Genomic DNA, 26,987 nt, shown 5'->3' with positions numbered 1-26,987 from the left:
AGAAAATCCTAGTACCCAACGTTTTCAGCTAAATATGAAACCAAAGAGGTTAATAAACTATTTTCTCTTTTAATCTCATGCCAAGCCTTTGCATGGTTAAGATATTAGGGTTTTTAACTACACAAAAAACTTAGTAGAGTTTTCCTAACAAAGATATTCATAGTGACTATGGAATATCAAAAATAGGCCGACGAAGCACTTTCAAGGTTTGGAGGTACAGAACAGAGTGACTCTCCGTGCCATTTATTCTATCAATTTCAGAATAGTCACTTATGTTCAAACAGATCATTTATATGCATAACCTGAGATTATAAGGATGAATGTTTACTACTTATCAAATCCATTAAGTTTTCTGAACATGGAAGAAAAATCCCCTTCACTCTTCTTATCAGTGTAGAAAGACAGATCTGTGTCTAAACCACCTGACTAACATAAAGATGGAACCTTTGGGGCTTCAAAGAATAACACCAGATCTCACACTGCTGGACCTAAAGGAGCGGCATCTTTTCAATCCTGTCTTCTTTTCTGCAAAATGGACATAATAGTAAGAGCTATCTCCTGATGGTTGTGAAGATCTGAGAGGATGCTTACAAAGTGGTTGGCATTGTGCTTAAAATATAATAAATCCTCAATGGAATGGTTGTATTAATGTTGTTAGTGCCACTCATATTACTTGCTATTCTATTGATTAGTATACTTTGTTATATTGATCTTCAGTATTATTGTTAATACTATTATTAACTCTCATTAATATTCTGTTGATTACTACCCTCATTCTTCTCAATCATGGCTGCAGAGGGCAATGAGAGGACTTCTTGAAATTACTCATGGAAAGAAGGAATCCATTCCCTCACGGAAGCTTAGGGGCATGCTGAGTGAAAGCAAGGACATTTCAGTGAATAGTTTTTCAAGCGGAAACGCCAAGATCAGCCTCTCACGTACTTGCAACCACCTGAAGGGAACCATGTTGTCCCAAACGGTAGCTTGGACATAGGATATAGAATCCACAGCCACTATTTGAAAAACAAAAGTCTAGCTTCTGAGGTCTAGTAGCCTATCTAAATAAGATCAACCCTTCCGCAGTTATCTGTAAGCAGCTTCTTTGGAAAACTGCAGAATACGAAATCAATCTCAAGTTCTTTGGTGCTTGAATTTATGCATAACGTTAATAAAAACCTTTGGATCTCCCAAGGAAGCAGGGATTCATTTAGTTGCTGGAGATATTCATTTAGCCTGTGTGTGAGTGCCTCAGTACTGGAACCTTAGACACTGATGTTCTCAACAACCATACAATCTTTTTGCTATTTGCTGTGGTTTGATGCGCATTATAGCTCTCCAGGAAAGTAAATGAGCAGAATTCTATGTGTGTGCTGTGTAGCTCAGGGAGACAGAATAAGAAGCAGGAAAAAGGAAAAAAAAAAAAAAAAAAGAAAGAAACCCTGAAAACAAAATTAACAACAACAGCTCGGTAGAGCTTTGAATTTCATTTTAGTTTGTGTTACGAGAACTAATAAACTGTGCCACATAGGACAGAAAGAAAACAAAATGAAAACACTGAGCAACACTTGTACAGGGTACTTATATTTCACTGCTTTGCACCAATACTGGCAAAATATGGCTCAAACAATGCCTTTAACATGGACAGAATCACGCTGCTTAGGAAAATGGATATTATAAAGCTGTATTTATCACACTGACTGCCCCTTAGCTACCGCAGCACCAAGTCTCCTGAAATATAAAGCTGTATGTCTTGAATGTGGAACAGAACACGTTTAGTTGAGGGAGTGCGCACTGGTCCTGACCTGACCTGTTCCACCAAACCATCTTTGCAAACAGACTCTGCTGTGTGGGCATATGACACTTCCACGAGTTGTATAGTTGCAAGGGCTTTGGTCTTAAAGTGTTGGGGGATGGGATTCAAGAAGAAGTTAAGGTTCCCTTGGACTTTAAAACTCTGTGATTTGCTGGCCGGGCACGGTGGCTCACATCTGCAATCCCAGCACTTAGTGAAGCTGAGGCGAGAGGATCAGTTGAGGCCAGGAGTTTGAGACCAGCCTGGGCAACATAGTGAGATAGCATCTCTACAAAAAATAAAAAAAAAAAAAGTAGGTGGGCATGGGGATGCATAACTGTAGTCCCAGCTACTCAGAAGGCTGAAGTGGGAGGATTGCTTGAGCCCAAGAGTTCCAGGCTGAAGTCAGCCATGATTGCACCACTGCACTCTAGCCTGGGTGACAGAGTTAGACCATGCCTGCCTCTAAAAAAAATAAATAAAAATAACTCTATGATTAGGCAAAGTTGGTGCTGCTATTTTTTTTGAGACACTGGATGGCTTTAATAGGAGAAGAGCAAACAAGTGACTATATACTCTACTGGACCATATTAGAAGCAACCCTCCTGGCAGGACAGCAGGGTGATAAAGAGCACACAGCATGCCTGGAAATCAGAGCCCTTGGTGCTATAGACCAGCTACATTCCTTAGAAACCATGTGACTATGAACAAATTACTTAAATCCCTGAGCTTCTGAGACTTCAAGTGTAAAATGGGATTACAAATAGTACTTTCTTCTTAGGGTGCTGTGAGGATTAAATGAGTTAAACATGCAAAGCCCTCAGAAGACTGCCTGGTATATTGTTAATAGCCCAATAATTGCTAGATAATTTTATCATTATTATCAACTACATGGGAAGTTGTGCACCCCCATGCCCACCTACTTTTTTTAAATTTTTGTAGAGATGGGATCTCACTATGTTGCCCAGGCTGGTCTCAAACTCCTGGCCTCAACTGATCCTCTCGCCTCAGCTTCACTAAGTGCTGGGATTGCAGATGTGAGCCACCGTGCCCGGCCAGCAAATCACAGAGTTTTAAAGCCCAAGGGAACCTTAACTTCTTCTTGAATCCCATCCCCCAACACTTTAAGACCAAAGCCCTTGCAACTATACAACTCGTGCAACTATACAACTCGCATCAACTACATGGGAAGCAAAACATGAATCACATGATCAGAAATGTTAAATTTTATGCCTTCTAATTAGAGATGCTGGTTCACCAAGGATAAGCTTTTTATTATTATCATTTGGCTTTACTTGAGAATTTTAAGAAGCCTGGAAGAATTTATTCACAGGAATTTAAAAAAAAACTATGCCTAGTTTATGAAAACATATCAAAATGCTTCTTTTCTTTCTTCTTTTTTTACTTTTACAGAGGCCAAATTTGCATATTTGAAATGCAGGAATTTTAAATGTACAATTTGCCAAATTTTTATAACTGTATATACCAAGTAACCATCACCCAAATCATATGAAACACTTCCATTCCCCCATAAAGTTCTCTTGTCTCCACCTACAGTCATCCTAACAGCCCCGACCAACACCGCATAGGCAACCACTGTGCTGATTTCCATTATTGTAGATTAGCTTGATTTTACTTGAAATTCACATAAATTGAATCATACTACATGTACTCCACTGTGTCTGGCATCTTTTGCTTAACAATGTTTTAGGACGCATCTGTTTTATTGCATGTATCAGTAGTTCATATTTTTTTTCTGCTGAGTAGTAACCCCTTGTGTAACATGCACTCAATTTGTTTATTCTTCTGTTGATGAACATCTGGACTATTTCTAGTTATTGACAATTATGAATTATGTTGCTATGAATATTCTCTTACAAGTTTTGTGTGTCTGTGTGTGCGTGTGTGTGTGTGTGTGGACATGTTTTCTTTTTAAAATAAATACATAGAAGTGGAATTCCTGGCTTAAAAGGACAGAACTTTATAAGAAACTGCCAAAGAGTTTTCTGAAGTGATTGCACAACATCACACTCCAATCAGAAATGTATAGAGTTCAAGTGCACCATATCCTCATCAATATTAGTGTTGTGTAGTGTTTAGCTATCCTAATGGGCATGATATGGTATCCCATTCATGTTTTGGTTTATTGTTACTTTATAGGAGTTATTTATATTTTCTGGATACAAGTCCTTTGTAATATAAGCATACTGTAAATATATTCTCTTATCTGTAACCTGCCTTTTCATTTTCCTAACAGAGTTTTTGATGAACACAGAATTTAATTTTTTTTTTTTTGAGATAGGGTCCTGTTCTGTCACCCAGGTTGGAGCTGGAGTGAGGTGATCAAGTCAGTCTCCCAGGCTCAAGTGATCCCCCTGACTTGGGCCTCCCACATAGCTGGGACTACAGGCGTATGCCATTATGTCTGGTTAATTTTTTAATTTTTTTGTAGAGACAGAGTCTCGCTATGTTAGCCAGTCTGGTCTCCAACTCCTGGGCTCAAGTGCTCCTCCTGCCTTGGTCTCCCAAAGCGCTAGGATTACAGGCATGAGCCACTGTGCCCAGCTCCAGGCTTTGAATTTTGATGTTTATAATTTTTAAAAAAATCCATCTTCTTAGAGATATTAAATTTATTAAAATTTTCAAAAAAAAAGCTTATGACTGTGTTAATATTCTCTGTTATTTGTCTGTTTTCTATTTTATTTTTCTACTCTTATTTCCTTCTTTTAAAATTAATATTTTTAATAAAATTGTAATTTTAGGCACAATTATTTTGAGATAATCTTAATTGGCTTATCTACTTAAATTGAACACATGAGTTTTTAATTTTAAACCTTTTTTCCTTTCTAATCCTTTCTAGTATAAACATTTAAAACTATAAATTTCCTTCTAAATACTTTTTAGCAGCATTCTACAAATTTTGGTATTTTGTATCAGTTATCATTCCATCAAAATATTTTGTAATTTTTCTTATAGTACTTTTCTTCAATACATATTTTATATATATCAAACATTTATATATATTTGTATATATTTGTCAATATTCATATATATTTATATATATATTAGAAGTTTGATTTGCATTTCACATATTTGAGGATTTTGTAGATATATTGTTCTCCCAACTTCATTAAGCATAATTGACAAATAAAAATTGTATATATTTACAGCACACAATATACTTTTTTGTTATATATATACATTGTGGAATGATTAAACCAAGGTAATTAACATATCTATTCACCTCATATACTTATCATTTTTGTGTGTGGTGAGAACATTTAAGATCTACTTTCTTATCAATAGACATTATATTGTTACTGCTTCTCGTTTGATTCTTTTGCAGTCAAAGAGTGTAGTCTATAAGACCACAATCTAGAAATTTAATATTTTTTATGACTCAACATATGGTCTACTTTGGTGACCGTTTCATGTGAACTTGAAAAAAAAAACCCTCCAGGGACACTGCTGGATTATGACAAAGTGGTTGTCAGTATTGTTCAAATATATATCCTTCTTAATTTTTTTTTTTTGTCTAACTTAAAAAAATTATAATGGTTCCTAATGAAATGACACTGTTTTCCTGTTTTTTTTTTTTTTTTTTTTTGAGACAAGGTCTCACTCTGTAGCCCAGGCTGGTGTGACCATGCGCTCACCATGGTGTGAACTGGTGTGACCATGACTCACTGCAGCCTGGACCTCCTGGGCTCAGGAGATCCTCCCACCTCAGCCTCCCATGTAGCTGGGACTACAAGTGCACGCCACCATGCTCGGCTAATTTTTTTGTATTTTTAGTAGAGATGGGGTTTCACCATGGTGCCCAGGCTGGTCTCAAACTCCTGGGACCAAACAATCTGCCCTCCTCGGCCCCGCAGATTGCTGGGATTACAAGCATGAGACACTATGCCTGGCACCTTTTTTTCCTTTTCATATTTTCCTCTGTTAATTCTCCTTGTCTTTAAATCTAATTTAAGCCTACTTAATTTGATATTTATATAGGCATTCCAGCTTTTCTGTGGTTATATTTGCAGTGTACATATTTTTCTATAATTTTACCTTGAAGTATTTTATATCTTTGTCTTTATTTTTCACATACATTTCTTATACACAGCATAGAGTTGGATCTGGCTTTCTTAAAAGTCAGTGTGATAGCCTATGCTTTTAATGAAAGTGTTTATTTTATTTACATTTGAAATAGTTACTAGTATGTTTGTATTTGGTCTGCCATTTAGCTATTCATTTTCTTTGTGTTCATCTGTTATATGGTCCTTTGTTCCTTCTTTCTTGTCTTTTTCAGGTTAAACAAATATTTCTTAGAATTCCATTTAAATTCCTCCAATGAATTTTGAGCTGTATGTTTTTGCATTTTTTTTCTTTAGTGGCTGGTGAGTATGTTAACTGTGTTAAAAATCACTTATGGCTGACACTTTATCCAACAAGTTGTTAATTTATTACTGTAACTGAAATAACATTCGGTCACAGTAGCTTACAAAACTGTTACAAATTAGTTTCAGATAATTAACTGCTGTCCTTAGTACTCAAGTTACATTAAAAATCTTGCACAAATAATAATTCGAGCTCTGAAGAATAAAACTAAAGCAAAAATTAGTCTTAACGGGAGGAGCAAACCATTGAAAACCTAGCTGTTTCGAAGAAGATTAACTAAATTTACCATCTAATGGATTAAACTACTCTCTTTAAAGCATTATGCCATTTTGAGACTAGCATATCTTTTCTCTCCATCAACCATCAACATCAATTCCTTTTTTTTTTTTTTTTTTTTGCTTAAAGTGGATCAGCATATTACGTGAGTAATACGCATGGCTAATTCAAGCACACGTGAACAAAATTCAGTGTTGAAATCATACAACCTCAAGGAATGCTACCAAGTTTAGGAGGCTGCAAACACAACCTGATGGGCCTTTTACACATCAGCAGTTGGCTTCCTTCCCATTCCTGTTTCATGTTTTATGGGTCTTTCAACTCCTAAACACCATGACCTCTGCCCTCTTCCCACTCACTCTCACCATATTACTTGTGTCTTACTATATGGAGAAAAGAGCAATCTTAGATGAAACCCCCTCAATTTCTCCCTCCTGTCTCCCTTCCCTCATTCATGCTGATTGGCTCCACCCATGCTTGTGGATATATCACTTCACTCCCAGTCATCTTTTGACTCTTTTTCTTCTTATGGGGTCTTTCTCCTCAGCACCTGTGACAGGTAAACAACAGCATTAAGAATCTCTACTTCCCTTCTTCCATTTTTCTTGAAAAAGCAGTCTGTCCTTGTGGACTCCAATTTCCTCACTGTCCACAGAATCCTCAAATTCTGCCTGGAGATTGTACAATGGTGGACTGTTATGCAATCCAGTCAAGATCAACAAATGTCTTTATGCCACCAACTCTCATGGTCACTTTTCTGTGTGTGTTTTTTTTAACTTGACTTGTCTGCAGCATTGACACTGTTCACTACTTCCTCCTTGAAATTTTATTCTCTTTTGGTTTCTGTGATACCAAACTTTTCTGTTTTCTTGCTGTCTCTATGACACTCTTGATTTTATTCACAGGACTTTAAATCCTGTATTCCCTCTCTAGTCTTTGGCCCTCCCTCCCTTCCTTCCTTCCTTCCTGCTTCCTTCTTTCCTTCCTTGTTTCCTCCCTCCCTTCCGCCCTTCCTTCCTTCTTTCCTCCTTCCTTCCTTCCTTCCTGCCTTCCTGCCTTTTTTCTTATTTTTTAATTTTTTTTTGAAGACTCACTGTCACCTAGGCTGGAGTGCAGTGGTGCAATCATGGCTCACTGCAGCCTTGACCTCCCAGTCTCAAGCAATCCTCCCACCTCAGCCTCCCCAGTAGTTAGGACTACAGGTGTGTGCCACCATGTCTTGCTAATTTATGTATTTTTTTGTAGAGACAGGGTTTCCCTGTGTTGCCCAGGCTAGTCTCAAGCTCCTGGGCTCAGGTGATCCACCCAGCTCAGCCTCCCAAAGTGCTGGGATTACAGGCGTGAGCCACCGTGCCTAGTCACTCTTTTCATCTTTATACTATCTTCCCATACCTAATTCATCTCCTTAACTTCAACTGTCATTTATACGCTGCTGATGCCTAAATTTGTATCTTATGGTTATATTTCTCAAGTTAATTTCAGGCTTATATAGAAAAATGCCTACTGACATTTTCATTTAGATATCAACATCAACATGCTCAAATTAAATTCACTGCTTACCCCCTTTCTCTTCCTGTATTTCCTATTCAATGGCACCACTGTCCACCCAGATAACTTACGCCCATGTCCTGGGAACCACCTTCGTCACTTTCCTATGACGTAAATCACACATCCAATCAAATATTAGCTCATGTAGCTTCTACTTCATTAGTAAATACTTCTCTTGTGCATTCTCTTTTTTTATTCCCATGGTCAACTACTACTTTTTTTTAGCCTCTGACCATTGCTTCTATGGATTACTAGTATAACCTCCTAACTAGATTTTCTGGCCTCTCAGTCTTACTCCTGTCCCTCCTGTTCCCTGCAATACTTCAAGGGTCAACTACTAAACATGTAAAATGTGTCCTGACACTCCCTTGTCAAAATGACACAAACGGTTCCCAAGATCTCTAGGTTAAAGTTCAAACCCCATTGCCTGGCGTAAAAGACTATGAATGCTGACACTCCACTTATTCTGATACTTTATGGCTGGTGAGGTTGAGAAACAAGCCCACCTTCTCAGCCTCACCAGCCTTAAAGCACTATGTATATAACTTTACCCCAGGAAAATCAAATCTGGCAGCTCTTTAGAGTTATCCAACCAGATCTTGATGTTTCATGCTTCTGAACCTCTTTCTATGTCAATCCCCTTCCTGAAATTCTTTTCTTCTCTCCCTTTCCTCAGAAATCCTGCCCATACTTCAAAACTTGGATCAAGTATCACCTATTCTTGTAATTTCATTTTTGTTTAGATACCCCTTCTCTGTTCTTATATAGTTTTTCTTGACTCTATCTTTGCACTCTTCACACTATACGTAAATATCAATTTACTTCTCTATGTCATCCCCTTAGGCCACTTGCTTCTTTAGGACAGGCATCAGACCATGTAGATCTTTGCATCTGCATCACCTAACAATGGGCCTGGTACACAATAGTTGAAGAAATGTTTCCCGAGCAAATCAAACCAAGTCAAATCAATTCAGCATCAAAGTTAATTGATGTTTTAGTGACATACATATTTTAGTGGTATAGGGCCATCTACTACAATAACTAGACATTTCACGTTTAAAAAAGAATAATCACTTTACACATGTAGAACACACCGAGAAGGGGCATTGGAAATATTGGGTAACACAAAACCTGTTCCTGGGGCCCCTCATATATCTCAGATTCCAAAATCTAATGGTATATGGAAGTTTCTTTCCTCCAGTAGAAGGTTCCCTGGTCCGGGTTTCTGATAGGAACAGGGCAGGTAGAAAATGAGACAGGAGGCGGACACTGAAAGGAAAGTAGGTATCCACCAAAGGGAGGTGGTCAATTATTTTGCTGATGGCAAATGGAAAGTGCATTTAGAGCTACTTTGTGGAAGCCATCTGTGTGCATTTCCTAAGAGGCACTCTGCTATATCATCTCGTTCTGTGTCCTATCGGCAGCATAAACTCTAACTACACATTCTATCTACAAATTAACCTACAGGGGAAAAAGTATATCCTGATGTGATTTTTCTTTTTCTTTTATTTTCCTATGCTGGACAACAATTTGTAAAACTATTAGGCTGAACAACGAAATTGCAACCTTTCTGGGTCAAAAGTGTTTTGTAAAAATCAGCAATTTCATATGGTTCAACAAAATACAGAAAATGTAACTAACTACCTTTACCAAAACAAATACATTTGTCAACAGCTTAAATCAGGGGTGTCCAATATTTTGGCCTCCCTGGGCCACACTGGAAAAAGAAGAATTGTGTTGGACCACACATAAAATACACTAACACCAACAATAGCTGCTGAGGGTTGGACAAGCTTGGCTTAAATGGACTCATTTTCACTTACTATATTAACATGAGTTAGGAGGTATAATGGATATAATGCTTTTGGATTCCTTTCCCCGGCAGAGTAAGATGTAGTTTCTACATGTAGAAAGAAATAATTTCTTGTTGCCACCAATTAAAATACTGTTTCAGGAAAGCCAGGAAGTATAGGTGAGGACCAATGGACCAATAGGTAGTTTCAGAGTAAAATACGTTATTCTTCTTTTGGTCAAATATCCATTCAACTCTTGATACTCCAAGTGTGGTCTGTGGCTTGGTGGCAACTGCATTATCAAAGTGCTTGTAAAAAATGTAATGCAAAGGTTTGGGCTTCACCCCAGAACTACCATATCAGCATATGCATTTTAACAAGAATCTCCACCCACAGTGATTCTGAGGGTTCTTAATATTTATGCATTGAATCAGACCATTTATTATCAACTTAACACTGGAATAATCTGGGAATTAAAAAAAAATTGGTGCTCAGGTTCCAGCCCTAGAGGCTAATATTTAATTGTTATGGAGAATAGTTTGAGTGTAGAAATTTTGTAAGTTGGAATAATAAAATAACAATTACATCTCAGACTGGAACCAGGGGATTTAAATGTACAGAAAAAGTTAAGAACCACAGCTCTAGATAAAAGTTTGGGAGAGAAATCCTAAATTCCAGGGAAATCTCAAATTAACATTGTAAAGTAGAAGAACTTTTCAGTATGATGATACATATATACTTAGAATAGGGTTAGTGCTGTCATGAAAAGTAGTCAAACAAACCAAACATAAAACTAAATGTCAAGATGTTTTACAGTTTTAAAAACAGAAAGTGATAGATATTCAATAGCCTGTTAAAATGAAATAACAGTTTCCCTTTGCTCATAGGACTATGATCTACACAAAAGAAGTGTACAAAAAAAATCAACAAAAAGTAGAAAAAAAGGGAAAGATATGTTGCTTTGATGATTTATGTATGAAAGTCAAAAAATAATTTGACTGAATGACAAATGACTAGACACTTGATCTATCACTACAGACTTGGTAATAAAAATATAAGCTTAGAAGTATTCCAGGAAAAAGGCAGAATAATGTTCTAAAATTTTATCTCGGGATGAAAATTCTTATGATATCTTCAGAAATAGAAAGCTAAATGCAACAGAAATAGAATTTAGACCAGCCATTCCATAGGACTTCATTCAAAGTATATCTGTTTTAATTCTTAGAAATCAATCACTTTGCAGATTTGTACCTCTGTATTAACTTAAACATGATCTTCAAACTGCTTAACATATCAACTTTGGTATCTCCTTGATGGGGACACCATTCTCTGACTTAAAAATGCAGCCTTTCAGAGTTCAGGTTCATAAACTTCGCAGCAATAAGAAGAAATGATAAAAATGCTGTCACCTGGAGTGCTGATACTTTAAATATTATCAACAATTAAGAACTTATATTTAAATATTTTTTAAGCAAACCTTAACTCGATCAAAGAGAAGAAACTTTAAATGAACCAAGAGATAATGCAGTTTTTGGTATTTTGATAAATCTCAGTTAACCAATTTTGAATAATGAAATCAAATCAGAATTTCAGAGCTTGAAATAATTTTAACATCTGCAGTGTAGCAGAGTGGCACAATTCAATTTGCTAGACTGAGTTGAATCTGGTTGAAGACTTTAGTTTTCAATTAAAAATCCTGCCATTGATTCAACTTGCAAATGTCTTCTCAGCCCTGGGTATAACTTTATCCAGTTTGCATTTTGAAGACATCTACATTTCTATTTAGGAAGTGAATGCCACTTGGAAGCAACCTAATCAAATGTCAAAGAAGACATTTAATAGTTGTACCTGCTAAAATATATAGCTAGGTCATTTTTTTAAAAATATAACTCTTCTAGTCAGCTACTTCTAGGATTTGAAAATCCAAAAGAAATGTTATAAATGCATATAAATGCATTTCCAAAAGAAAATGTTGTAAATGCATATAACCATTACTCAAAGAAATACAGACATTTGAAAAATACAGCCGGGTGCAGTGGCTCACACCTGTAATCCCATCACTTTGGGAGGCCGAGATGGGTGGATCACCCGAGGTCAAGAGTTTGAGATCAGCCTGGCCAACATGGCGTAATCCCATTTCTACTAAAAATACAAAAATTAGCCGGGCATGGTGGCATGTGCCTGTAATCCCAGCTACTTGGGAGGCTGAGACAGGTGAATCGCTTGAACCAAAAGGTGGAGGTTGCAGTGAGCCAAGATTGCACCACTGCACTCCAGCCTGGGGGACAAAGTGAGACCCTATCTCAAAAAAAAAAAAAAAAAAAATACATTCTAGGATTTTAGGTACCTCTTACAGGTGAATTAAATCCACATTTCTAGAGAAACCAAGAAGGCTTAAAGAATCTTAAATCAGATTTTGAACATAAACTAGAGCATAGAGCTGTAACTTAAAGATCACATGACAAGGATTCTGACAACACTGAAACACACAAGAGAATTAATGCGTTGTGATTTTCACAGAAAGGATTAAATGGAAATGAATACACAATTACATGAGAAAGGGAAATTTCACTTTCAAATACTTTAAGTATAATCAGTTGTTATAGAAAAGGTGAACTATAGTAGGTAAAAGTAAAATAGCTTATTGTGGCATTTCCCATGGGAAGGTTGATTGTAAGAGATCTAGGCTGGGCAGGATGGCTTACACCCGTAATCCCAGCACTTTGGGAGGCCAAGGCAGGTGGATCACCTGAGGTCAGGAGTTCAAGACCAGCCTGGCCAACATGGTGGAAACCCTGTCTCTACTAAAAATACAAAATTAGCCGGGTGTAGTGGCACACACCTGTAGTCCCAGCTACTCGGGAGGCTGAGGCAGGAGAATCGCTTGAACCCAGGAGGCAGAGGCTGCAGTGAGCCAAGTTCGCGTCACTGCACTCCAGCCGGGGGGACAGTGCGAGACTCCATCTCAAAAAAAAAAAAAAAAAATTCAATTCTGTGAAAGAGAAGGACTACCATGATGTTGTTAAAGACTTGGAATTTGCATCAAGGCTAAATAGATTCACATCCCAGCTCTGCCATGTGCTAGCTACATAACTTAACATTTTTGTACCTCTGTTTCCTTGTCTATAAAGAATAAATAATAATAGACCAAGTCAGGGATGTTGTGTGAAGTAAAAGAGTTAATTTAGGTGTAGCATTTAGAATGGTGTTTGGGACACAGCAACCATTCAATTCAATAAACATTCTTCCTCTCTCCTCTTCTTCTGCCACTTTTTCTTCCTTTCTCTTTCCTGTCCCTTCTCCTCTTCTTCCTCCTCTTCTTTCACATAAACAAGAGACAGATAAACTATCTGATTATACCTACGTATTACTCTAAACTTAATATTACACATGTAACTAGAAATATTTCAGTTGGAGATAAAATGATGTCTTTACATAAGATCTTCTTTTTAATTTTTTTATTTAATTTTTTTTTAAGGACAGGGTCTTGCTATGTTGCCCAGTTTGGCCTTGAGCTCCTGGGCTCATACAATCCTCCTGCCTCAGCCTCCTGAGTAGCTGGGACTACAGGCCCATGCCACCACACCTGGCTCTGCAATGGATCATCTGCGTTTTTAGAACCAGCCATTTCAATGGTCAATCAAAGCTCTATCTTACTAAAGAGACCTGAATTTATTAGGTATCTTTCTCTTTTGTTTCAATTTTTCATGTTCCTTTTTCCAGATTATTTAGAGAGCTTAGAATTTCCACTCAACCCTGAAGACTAATAAAACTTCTCCAATCAAACAACTATCCTGAAACTTTAAGAGGCTCTAACTGGACCTAATATAAATGTATCAGGAAACTCACTGCACAATTGAAGATTCATCAAGAGTGACTTAGCAGATTGTAACTCTGGGTCCTCTCAATGAGAAACCCTGTTGTGTGACTTAGGTGTCCAGCTGCTCAGAAGTATTTAATGCTTACATATCAAAGATGAAAGAAAAATCTCCTGGAAACTGAATGTATAATCATGTCAGCAGTGGATCCCATTAAGAAAATCAACTATTTTAACCCATGGAAACGACCCAGAAACACTCAGAGAGAAAGTAATGCAATAACCAAGAAAGACAATGTAGGGAAAGGCAGTCATTTGTTTCTAGCTACTTACTGACTACTTTGAAAAATGTTACCCTTTTTCCAGAAAAGTACAGGCCCCTAAATAAAAATGCTTTTAAGAACAGCCAATTAGTCACCAAAAAGTAACTATGTGAGATGACAGACCTGTCAATCTGCTTTATTACTGTAACAATGGTATTTTCTATATGTAGTCCCATAAATTCATGTTGTAAACCTCAAATATACATAATAAAACTTATTTTAAAAAACAGCGGTCCAATTAAATAAATTAAATCAAGAAATCAAATGTGCTGAAATTCTTTGCAACAATACAGAGAAATTTACAAAAATGTATTAGCTTGCATGTTTTTAAAAATCAACCTCAGTAAATGTCAGAAAATATTAAATTAGGCACACTTATTCATTATTACCTCAATCTTGCAGAAATGTTTATTAAATTGGAGTGAAAGGACAATTCTGAAATGTTTTCAATATGCTTAATTAAATAATGAAGTTAGATTTAAATTGGTAATCCTTCCTGCATCTCCACATTCCATAAAATAAAAAACAATAGCACACTAACTTAGTCAGGATGCTATAAAAAGCAATGTGTGATTTCCCTTAAGTACCCTTTTGAAGAACCGTTTATCTTAACACTAGTCAGGCTGGTCTGTTCTAACTGCACTTGAATGTTTTCAGGAAAAGTGCTTTGTTAACAACCATAGATATAAGAAGAGTCTGAAGTCTAATTGTGATATTTTGGAATTCTCATGAATGCCTGCTGCATATCAATTATGTAAATATCATCTGAGAATCCAACAGTTGACTCTCTAGTATACCAAAAATCCTATGCTTAAATCGTAGGATTTACTTAACAATTTCTTAGCATCATAAGGCACTGCTTTAAGAAAATCTTCGAAGTTTTATGATTCTTTGATGGCTCAAACAAAACTAAGTATTTTCATTGGGATAAATGGTAATGTTCTAGAAAACTCTTTATCAAAGTATATTCCATAAAACATTAAGTGCATGACATACTACTCATAAAAAAAGTGTTGGCCGTGCGTGGTGGCTCACGCTTGTAATCCCAGCACTTTGGGAGGTCGAGACGGGTGGATCACCTGAGGTCAGGAGTTCAAGACCAGCCTGGCCAACATGATGAAACCCCGTCTCTATTAAAAATACAAAAATTAGCCAGGCGTAGTGGTGGGTGCCTGTAATCCCAGCTGCTCAGGAGGTTGAGATAGGAGAATTGCTTGAACCCAGGAGACGGAGGTTGCAGTGAGCTGAGATTGTGCCACTACACTCCAGCCTGGGCAACAACAAGTGAAACTCGGTCTCAAAAAAAAAAAAAAAAAAAAGTGTTAAGAGCAAGGAGTGGAGACATGCCAGTATGAATTCTTCATAACCGTCTTGAAGATTACTCAGGATGCATGTTCTCTCAAAGCAGAGATTTGTCTAAGCCTTGTTCACTTCTGTAGCCCCAAGCCAGCAACAATGCTTGGCAATTAGCAAGCATTGAGCAGAAATCAATGAATGAATGAATTATCAGTTTTCCAGCAGGGAAATTTCTTTAACTTTTTTTTCCAGAGTCTCTCACACTTATTCGATCACAAGAATCCTTTGTTTGTTTTTTCCTATTAGCAGGATAGAATATTTTAGATAAACAAAATAAAGAAAGAAGGAAAGGAAGGGAAGGAAGTAAAGAAAGGAAGGAGAGAGAAAGCATAGAAAAAAATCTAATAAATATACATATAATGACCACCCATATTAAGATTTAAAGGTAACAAGTAAAAGAGAAGTCTCTTGGGGACTCTTCCCCCATTCCATTAACTTTATACCCCATCTCTTCCCTCAAAATGAGGTAACCCCAACATAGGGCTTATGTCCATATGCTACTAACATCCTCCTCTGGGAAATTCTTAATTGAAGGATTGCTAAAGTCCCTTTATGCCCTAAGATTTTAATATATTTCTAGCTAGTATATATTTTGCAGATGATCATTTCTAAAACTATTCACTTACTGCATTAATACAATGATGAATAAGAAATGAATGAAATAAAACACTACAAAATGATGCAACACAATGGGAAATTGATACAATAATGGTATTTATGAACAGGCTAACTGTTCTCTCTTTCAGATGGATTGATATAAACTCTAAAGACAAATATAGATATAAACAATGGCCTAAAAAGGCATGGAAGTACTAGCTACTTAACCTAAGCTGAGGGGTTTTGAAACTATTCTCTACCATTATAGAGAAAAACATGCTTAACATGTGTATATTGGATTTTGACTTACTCAAGAAATCATCTAGGGCTTTAAAGGCAAAACCATGCCTAGATCAAAGTCACAATGTGCTCACATTTACATAAAGATGCTGCCAAGAAGAGGACACCCTTTCCCTGAGCTGAATAAACAATTACTAATGAAAATCTCTTTTATTAAGACCCAGCATACATGAGCCAACATAGTTTAAAAGGAAAAAGATCTATTTCTAAAAACATAGCCAATATCGTTCACAATATTTTTTCAGTAAAACTTTTTTCCCTCAAATTTTCCAGTACCATTATAGATATTTCTAAATTGTCTTGGAAAACCTTTAAGTATGTTACCAACAAGATATTCTTTCAGATATCTAAGTTTTGTTCTTTGCTTCATAGAGCTGATAAAAAGACCTAGGACAATATATTTTCATACTTGCTGTATTTCTAATTTTATGCATAGAAGGTGCTGACCAAGGAGACAATTTAGTGAAACACAATTGAACCCAATACCTGTAGCTGTGTAGATAACTACACACCACTATAATACAACAAAGACTAGACCAACAAAGAATAGCAAGATGTGTGGTTGAATTTTCCACTTTATCATTGGGAATTGGTGTCACAGTTTTATACACAAACACAAGGGTGAGGATTTCATTTCACTTTCAAGCCAACCCACTGACTCCTTCCCATGTTAAATCCCAACGGAGAATAAAACACAACCTCACCTTTTATCTAGAAGCCCGTATTGCCTTTCTCATAGTAAAATAAATGAAATGAATTCATATTTAAAAGATGTTTATGAAAGAAAAGTATCAATTCCTACCTCCATTATCTTTTAGATGTAGTGCTATCTTGGTATCATCTGGAAGAGAAATTCAAAGTTACTATAACAGAAAAGGATTGATTTCAAAGGAGCATAAATCTTATGACTAGTAATTGTCTACTAACTGCCTTGGTCGGAACATGACTAGATTTTGATAATTTATTGTGGTAATTTCTAGTGCAATGAGAGCAAGTCCTTGCTTTACATGATGTAGTTCTAAAATTTCCTACAGAGATTGTAATGTCAAGATTTTGGTAACATCTTGAATGATCCTTAAGTTCTACAAGAAAAGTAAGCAGTAATAATTAAAAGTTAAAATACAGCTATTTTTAATTCTCTAAAATCACTTATTGTAATTAGAACCTATAGTTATGACCTTATTTATTCATTTTAAAAAATCAAGATCAAGGAAAATCCAAATTCATTGTGACAGTTAAGATTTGTCAATATTTACAAATTTAACTCCAAAAGTTAAATGTTTACCCATTGCTAGAAAAGATGACCAAAATTCTATATAAAGAGATCTTATCCTGACTGAACAAAATGTAGGATATGCTTTTTTATTTTACTGGTTATGTTTCACTCTAAAGGGTAGGGTTTAAATTATAGGAATATTTTCGTGGACTTTAATATAATAATCCAAAATAATATGGATTAAAAGATAATGTTGCTTTTAAAAGCAGTAAAATGCACTTAGCAGCTGCTTTCCACCCCACTTTATTCCAGTTCACCTTATAATATCAAATTAAATTCCAATTAAAAGTTCCATATTTAATTTTTTATTCAAGCCAAAGAAAGTGAGGCTTATAACAATAAACAAGTAAGACCCATTTATCCCCCTCAAACCTGATTCGTGGCCAGTCTTATGTTTCTGCCCTCTCCCTCCTGGTGGTATCATTCAGAATAGAAAATTATCGTATGTTGGGTAATACACTTTCTTCCTCCTGAGCTGTGCCCAAGCATTAACACTCTCTAGTATTTCTGCCTACCTTAGAAGAGGAAATAGTTGTTTTCAAGGACAATTTCTATGACACATACAGTGTTTCTGTATAGGTTATAGACCAATATATTTTATTGACTGCATTCTGGAAAACATTAGAATTATATATTAATAGAATTATTTATTGTTCAGAATCCAGAATCAACGGACATTTTATATGCATTTTGCCTTTCTAACCTGTGATTGTGAAGTTGGATTTGCTTAGTACAAAATTTAGCCACACAGGAAGAAATCTGTATTTCTTTTCTAGGAAGGAGAGGACAAGAAGCCAGAATCAATGGTAAAAGCTATGTCTTAAAAAAAGGCACAGTGCATTAAAAGAATCCCAGCATTTACTTTTAGTTCATAATAATTTTGTCTTTTTCCCCTTTGGAAATCCCTTAGAAATCCAGTTTGCCAAAGAATAACTTTAGAGAGACCTAGAGAGTAGGAGCTATTCCAGTACATGTCAACACAGTGATTTTTCCTTCCTTCAGGGAAAAAAAAAAAAAAAAAAAAAAAAAAAAGCAAACTATCTCTTGGGTACCTTCTGTAGGGAGGCTGGTGGGAAACTGAGAAGTCACTGCTCTTCTGGTGGTAGTTAGGACCCTGAACTGGGTGGTTGTCGCTCCTACGGTTGTGGTGGTTCGAGAAGAAGTTTCCACTGGTTCTGTATTCTCACACATCTTCTCTTTTGACTAGTAAGAGAAAAGAAAAGGAAAACAAATGGAGTGATCACAAATCTATTTTTAGAACTTACATCAAAGAAGCTGGGCTGTAAAGCACAAAAGCCTCTCATATCAAGACAAGGAATAAATTACTTTTGTACAAGACTATATTAATGATTTTGCTAATTTATGAAGTTTATAAAATAGGAAAGAGAAAAAGATGGATGGAACAAGGCATTTCCCTTTTTAGATATTTAGGTTTCATCATTTACTGCTGTTAAGCTTTCATATTACTGTTTACCTTGCCCTAAATTTTACATTGGTATATTTATAAAAGACACACTGTCAAAAGGGAAAATTTATACTAGAAGAAAAACAGGTGCATAAAGATAAGGTTTAAAACATACTCAGGTTTGTGGAGAAAAAGTGCATTCCTTTCGTATCAAACTGACAATGCTAAATCCGAAATATTTGCTAACTTCCCCATACTACTTCATTGTTTCAAAAATCATCTGTCACAAGTTGAATGAATGTCTAAAATTTTGTTTTCCTTTATGAAATATTCAAAACCACATAAGCAAAGGATTGAACAGAACTCTTGTAATCACTCAGCCTATTTTCCTCCTTAGCAGAGCTATATTGAAAACATCAGGAAATGAGACATAGTGAATTTTTTATTTTTAATTTGTGAAAACAAATCCTACAACCTTCACTGGTAACAACCTCCAACATCCAAACTTTTATAGCTTAGAAGTTGGTGTTTCTATCCACCTTTTGTGCCGCAGTGGACTCCCTCTCTCAGGTGGGCCTTGAGTAGAAAATAACTATTCTGGACATGAGTGGTTCTCATCCCACATTTTAAAATTATTGTTAAATAAATATCATTCTTAAACTTCTCTCATCATTAGTGGAGCGCTAGGTGCCTTTCCCCTTGTTAATGCAGACTTCCTGAGACAGCCTCCTTTTCATTAATAGGATATGAAACAGGTTTATTCTCCACTTCAAGTCTAAACATACTAGGGTCTCATTTAATTCCCCAAATTCCAGTTCCTGCACCTCTGAGCCCCATTAATCTAATTATTTCCTTTCAGATACCACTTTAGTTGTCATCCCCACACCCTGGACTATATCTGTAGTGGAAAATGTTTTAGATCTGAAATCATAAGCTCAGTTATCCTTTTTCCATCTATCCCTGTACCTGCGAACTCCAATTCTTCTTATTCTTTGACTACTTAGAAAGCCTAAGAAAATGATTTTGTTTTTAAGTTTCTTTTTCCCCCATTACTTCAACCACTCATTTCAGTAGCTTCAAGCATCTTGCTCTATTTTTTTATTTTTTTTTTTTTTTAGTTTTTTTTTCTACAACACCTTTAAAGAAAAGATCTGCCTTTTCCCTGCCTGCTCCAAAGCCAGGCACAGCTGGAGAATAATCACACAGACCCGCCATGGGGGCTCCACAAACATCTCCTGCATCCTTAGCAGGGCCGTGCATACCACTTGGCAGCATTGCTGTGTCTTGCTAATCACCTCTCCCATTATGCTCAGTATGAATTTCAAGCTCTCTCCACTTTACCTAAAACTGCAATCCCATCATGATTCTCCCGGTTTTACTCCTTGGGTTCACCTTCCATTTCCTTGATAAATAGGCATGATCAGCAAGATTTCTTTAAATTTCTTAGTGAATCAGCATACTTACTTGACTCTGGGCTGACCTATTCTTTCCTTCTGTGATAATGGATGGGGACCTTTCCTTATAGCCATCCTTTCAACCTATTTCTACCTATGTCCTAGCTCAACTCAGCCCACCTTCACAGGTATTGTGAATTTGCTTAGGTGATCATAGTCCTTTCTCTACAATATTTGCCACCCCTAATTCTCTGCTGGCTTCTTATCAACAACACTTAAAGGTACACAAGCATGCCTAATCTTATTTTGCAAACCCAAATTCCAGTTTGCAAAGGGAGGCAGTCCCAGAAGAGGGACTGCCTCCCTCTTCTCCCCAATGCATCCTGACATTATACTGCTTTCCCTCCATTCATACGCAGTCATATTTCCAGAGAGATCAGTCTGCCTTGGTCTTCTCAGACTCCCAGCTTTCCCTTTTATGACAATCTTGCTCTTACCTAATCCAACTGAGTTGAAATTTCTCGTACCAATGTTTCTAAATATCTCCTTAGCTAAATATCCAACATCTTCCATGGTGTCCTACTGACACCTCATCAGCCTATGGTGCAGATGTCCACTCCCCTGTCTTGGTTTCTGTGACACACCCTCTCCTCAATGTTCTGACACCTCCCTCACAACTCCATCTCAATTTCCTTTTATTTATGTCAATTCCTTAAGTGTTGGGGTGGTTCTTATGGATCATTCTTGCTCTGTCACTTCATTCTATGCATTATCTTTTGCAATCTCTTCTACACCCATGACTGCAATGAACATCTTTATGTTGATTATTCATAAATCTATATTTCCAGTCCACATTCCTCTTTTGGATTTCAGGCCCAAAAAGTCATCTATTGACCAGGTGTCTGCATGTGAATGTCACACACATCTCAAACTCAAGGAGTATAGAATGGAACTTGCCATATATTATTCTCTCTTTGTGTTTCTACTGTCAATGAACAGGACCTAGTATTCCGTAAACAGGATCTAATAATGTTCAGTAAACACCCTACGTTTAAGGTAAAATCCTAGGCTCAGATTGCTTTTGGCAGTAACGGCAGACTAAGGAACTAAATAGCCCTCCTATAACAAAACAAGTAGATTCTGAATAAAACTTGAATTTTAAAGCCTTAGGATTTGCAGGAGGTAAAGAATATCCCAATGGTGCCTTTCCATTGTTTATTCCCCTCCCCACTCAAAAAATAAAACAAAGCAAAAGCTATGTGCTATAAAGACAGTAGGAGCTGTATACATTAAGGGAAGTTAAAAAAGCAGAATTTGCCCTGAGGAAAAAAATCCAAAATCAATATCGCTCTAAAGAGAACAAGCCTTGCAGCAGTAGTAGACAGGGGAGAAAAATCTGAACTTCTCCTCCTCACATTAGGGCAGAGACTTATGGTAGCCTGAAAATCCTGAGGATCCCATCATCAAATCTTCTTTGGGGGAAAACATCACCTATTTAGGTCTTAGAATAGGATCAGACAAATATACACTAAAAAAGAAAAAAAAATAGCTGTCTGAGAAAGAATCAGCAAAAACAATGACCACACTATTTAGATCACCAAAATTTTAGATAATGGGATCATCCAATATGGAATATACAAAAATCATACACGGAATATTTAAAATCATAAAAGATAAAATTGAGAAATGAACGGTTCACATGAAACTATAAAATACTTGGCAGATGTAATAAGTGTCAAATTTAATTTTAGATATGAAAAATGTTTGTTGGAATTTCTACTTCAGTGAGTAGATTACATAGAATATTAAACAAGATGAAGGGAGAGTTAATAAACCGGTAAATACATCTGAAGAAATTGCTCCAAATACAGCACAGAGTAATAAGGAAAGAGATTACATATAATAGAGGTTTAAAAATATGAGGAAAAGATGAAAATGGCAAGCTTTCAAAGAAGTCAGAAGGTGAAAATAAAGAGAGTGGAGAAGTATAGCTGAAGAGTACATTTATCAAGCTTGACACCCAACCAACAGGAAAACACACATTTTTCTTGAACACACATAGACCCTTTGTACAAAATGCCCATGTACTTGTTCATGAAAAATTTCCAATCAACTTTAAAGATCATAACATGTTCTCTGATGATGACTCAATTAGTCTAGAAGTCAATAGTAAAAAAGGTAAATTTTAAAAGCCTCTGTAATTAGGAAATGTGATCTAATTCATAATTTAATGTATTTCCAATAAAATGTTAGTAAGATGTATTGATAGATGGATTACAGATCTCGACAAGGTGAGTTTAATATTTATATGAAGGACAAAAGCCCTAAAATACCCAAACACTTGTGAAGAAGAAAAAGTAAGGAGATTTGTCCTGTATATAGTAAGATTTCTTATAAAACAATAGAAATTAATACAGTGGGACACTGATCTAAGTACTGACAGAGCTTTAGAAGAGGAGAGCCCAGAAAATATACATAAAACAGGTGACTTTGCAAGATATTGCCAAAAGAAAGGATTAGTTAACAAATGGTGCTTGAAATTTGGCTATCCATCAAGAAAAAAAACCCCACGAAACTGAATCTCTACCTTATATAATACATAAAAACCAATTCCAAATGGAATAGATTTTGACGTGTAAGACAAAGCTTTAAAATATTCAGAAAAAAATACACAAAAATAACACCTAGATGGAATTTGGTAGGAAAATTCTTCTAAAAGAAGATGCACAGGCATATAAAACTCATCATAAAAATAAAAGATTCATACATTTGACAGATTAAATTGATAATTAATGTTAGTGAAATAAAATCATAGAGAAAATGAAAAGATAAACCAAATTTGGGAGAAAAAATATACATCTGAATTACATTCTCAATCTTTACATATATGGAGATATTCATTTTCAACATTTTATATTGAGGTAACTGATTATATGAAAGAAATGATTGTCTCAAAACACAACTATGGCTTTGTCAATAGATACTCTTTGGAACTACGTTATTAGATAAGTGAGGTGAGACGGATGAGCACACACTGCTGTCATTCCCTAAATGAAATGCCAAAAGGTTGGTTATAGCTACACTGGCAATACTGCATTTAAAGTTCAAGAATGTTTTTAAAAATGTATTGCTCAAGATCTTTATGAAACATGCCCCCCAAAAATGAATTTTTAAAAAGTCTCTAAGTAACCATTGAACAAATAGTTTTTAAAACAGCATTTTGGCATGGCTTGCTTTGCTAAACTTTTGTAATTGTTAGCAGTTTTAATTCAAAATTGATACCCCAAAACTTAATGAAGGGAGAAGAAGTAAATGCTTTTCTTCATAAACTTTATAGGATATCTTTATATGATCTTGAAATGATAGTATAAATGCGAGTCACTGCAAAGCTTTTAAACGGGTTAAAATTGTTTCTGGTATCCAATTGCTTACACGACTTCACTGCATCCTTGTCTCTATCATGTTTCCCTCAGAGTTAACATTATACCATCTCTCTATGCCAACTAATGTTATACAATTTCTCATTTATTACAGCACATCAATTTGCTGCAGTCTTCCACCCTCCACAATACCACTGGTCTTGCTGTTTGAATTACAAAGAGGAACAATGGTTTCGTACATCCTAGAAAAATAGCAAGCATTTAAGAGAACTCCTCTACAGATTCCAATCCTGGCCCTACTATTCCCTAGCCATTTACCTGACTCTCCAAGAACCCACACTTCACCCCTCCCCACAAGCTCCCCTCACTCCTCCCCTTTCTCTCCTTGGTAATATGGGGGTAGTGACAGTGCAGGCACTGTTCTTCATAGAATGAATATGACAATGAAATGAGATAATACATATAAATAGTTAAGCCCCATGTCTGCATCTATTAGGGGTTGTAGCAAGTTGCTACAATGTAATGAAAATGTTATCTAATTTAACAAAAATAGCCAGCTGTTATCGAACCCCTAATATTTGCAGACATTGGGCTTATAGAAGGATTCTTCTCCTTTCATTAAGTTTTAGGGCATAAATTTTGAATAAAAATTATTAACAGTTAAAACACATGTATATGACAGCTTGGTCCCAGGATTCTGTCACAATAAAGCATGTGTACCTCTTCAGGGCATCCACTGTCCACCCAGTCCTGCCGATGACGATCAAATCCACTGGAACATCTTCAAAGAAGACCACAATGCAGTTCAGAAAAGGAAGGATAGGGTGCAGGGTGGTGGACAGAAATTAAAAGTAAAAGATTAGTAGGTAGTTCATTCTCACATTTTCAGTTTAGCATAACATTAACTCTTCTATAGAACTCGCAACTGGAGAAGCAGGGAAATATTTAGAGGGTTGCTAAATAATCACTCATTCCTTAGGATGTCACTGTTAGGATCGCACATGGCAACCAAATCACTGTTAAAGCAAACTGCACTGTACGGAATACCTAGATCCCTGCACAAAGATAAGACCAATCGCTCTTCTATGAAGTGGATTTTCTTTTACCTTGTATTTTTTTTCTCATCATTAAAACAAATAAATACACACTTTTTTTGCAAATATTGTATTTCATGATTTCAGGTTCATTCATTCATTCATTTTACTCATTCATTCAAGACCCACCATCACACAAACTCTTTCCCTTTTGTGCAGTAAAATGTTAACTTGGCAGTTGTGGGGTTTTCAGACCCTGCATGTTCCAAAAAAAAGACTGGCCCTTGACTTGCTCTTGAGAAGTAACCTCTAAACTCCTGGACTATCCTGCCTATTAAGAGTGTCTACCTCGGGTCTTGAGCCATGCAGATAGTTTATGCTGACAATTTGATTTATTGTGAATATGTGACTTCATTTACTTGGGACCCTGGGCCATGCTGTAACAGTTTGACCCTGGGGAGAGCTGACGACTGGAAGATAAGATTAGTCACAAGGGCATTCTATCCTGATGAATGAACCCTTAATAAAAACCCTGGAGACCAAGCTTGGGTGAGCTTCCTTGATTAGCAGTACTTGTTGTGTATTATTGCACATTGTTATTGGGGAAATTAAGTATCATCTGTGCAATTCCACTGGGAGAAGACAACTGGCAACTTGCACTGGTCTCTCCTGGATTCCACTCTACGTGCATTTCACCTTTGCTGATTTTAACTCATCTCTTTTTCCTGTGGCAACCTTGAGTATAACAGCTTTTCTGAGTTCTGCGAGTCTTTCTAGTGAATCATGGAACCCGAGTATCTTCTTGGGGACACCCAGTTGCACTAGAAATAGGTCATGTCTAAAATATCTAATTTAGCAAGCATTGTGTTAATTAGACTTTGTTCACTCATACTGTCTTCCTTGACTGGAATAATTTTCTGTCTTCCCTACGTACTCTTACACAGCCCAATAATTTTCTAAGACCCAGAAATTACTATCCAGAGCACATTCTGATAAAGCATTGCTACCATAGTCGCTCCTTTTAGGAGGTTTCAGTTATCCATGGTTAACTATGGTCTGAAAATAGGTGAGTACAGTACAATAAGATATTTTAAGAAAGAGAGGAAAAGATCACATTAATATAACTTTTATTATACTATATTCTTATAATTGTTGTATTTCATTACTAGTTGTTAATTTCCATGGTGTCTAATTTGTAACTTAAACTTTATCATAGGTATGTATATACAGGAGAAAACATAGTATATATAGGGTTTGGTATTATCCTTGATTTCAGGCATCCACTAAAGGTCTTGGAGAAGGGGGGCTACTGTATTGCTGTGAATACATCTTACTTTAATTTTTGTCTCTTTTATGTAAAATCTCATGTACTTATGTGTTGCGGGAAGTCAGGGACCCTGAACAGAGGGACCGGCTGAAGCCATGGCAGAAGAATGTGAATTGTGAAGATTTCATGGACACTTATTAGTTCCCCAAATTAATACTTTTATAATTTCTTACACCTGTCTTTACTGCCATCTCTGAACATAAATTGTGAAGATTTCATGGACACTTATCACCTCCCCAGTCAATACCCTTGTGATTTCCTATGCCTGTCTTTAATCTCTTAATCCTGTCATCTTCGTAAGCTGAGGAGGATGTATGTCGCCTCAGGACCCTGTGATGACTGCATTAACTGCACAAATTGTAGAGCATGTGTGTTTGAACAATATGACATCTGGGCGCCTTGAGAAAAGAACAGGATAACAGCAATGTTCAGGGAACAAGAGAGATAACCTTAAACTCTGACTGCTGGTGAGCCGGGCGGAACACAGCCATATTTCTCTTCTTTCAAAAGCAAATATCTTTCAAAAGCAAAAAGAAATATCACTGAATTCTTTTTTTTTATTATTATACTTTAAGTTTTAGGGTACATGTGCACAATGTGCAACTTTGTTACATGTGCCATGTTGGTGTGTTGCACCCATTAACTCATCATTTAACATTAGGTATATCTCCTAATGCTATCCCTCCCCTCTTCCCCCACCCCACAACAGGCCCCGGTGTGTGATGCTCCCCTTCCTGTGTCCACAGGTTCTCATTGTTTTCCTCAGCAAGGAACATCCCTGAAAGAGAATGCGTCCCTGAAGGTAGGCCTCTGAAATGGCCGCTTCAGGGGCGGCCGTCTTCTAAGGTTGCAGCTGCAGGGATGAAATAAGCTCCAGTCTCCCGTAGCACTCCCAGGCTTATTAGGATGAGGAAATTCCCACCTAATAAATTTTGATTAGACTAGTTGTCTGCTCTCAAACCCTGTTTCCTGATACGATGTTT

At 36.5% G+C, this 26,987-nt stretch overlaps 1 protein-coding gene across 3 annotated transcripts in view; it reads right to left on the bottom strand.

Annotated features, from left to right (window-relative positions):
- Positions 1 to 26,987, bottom strand: part of PLXDC2 (plexin domain containing 2) — a 473,425-nt gene that overhangs the window by 53,764 nt on the left and 392,674 nt on the right. For all 3 annotated transcript variants that reach the window (NM_032812.9, NM_001282736.2, XM_011519750.3), the window contains 3 exons: positions 24,364 to 24,424; positions 18,517 to 18,667; positions 16,991 to 17,029 (listed from right to left, as the gene is read on the bottom strand). In NM_032812.9, coding sequence (NP_116201.7) covers positions 16,991 to 17,029; positions 18,517 to 18,667; positions 24,364 to 24,424 — 251 coding nt within the window. The remainder of the gene's footprint in view (positions 1 to 16,990; positions 17,030 to 18,516; positions 18,668 to 24,363; positions 24,425 to 26,987) is intronic.

The sequence above is a fragment of the Homo sapiens genome, chromosome 10 (genome assembly GCF_000001405.40).
Source record: "Homo sapiens chromosome 10, GRCh38.p14 Primary Assembly".
Lineage (NCBI taxonomy): Eukaryota > Metazoa > Chordata > Mammalia > Primates > Hominidae > Homo > Homo sapiens.
Note: the sequence above shows the minus strand (reverse complement) of the source record. Positions and strands in the feature narration are given on the sequence as shown.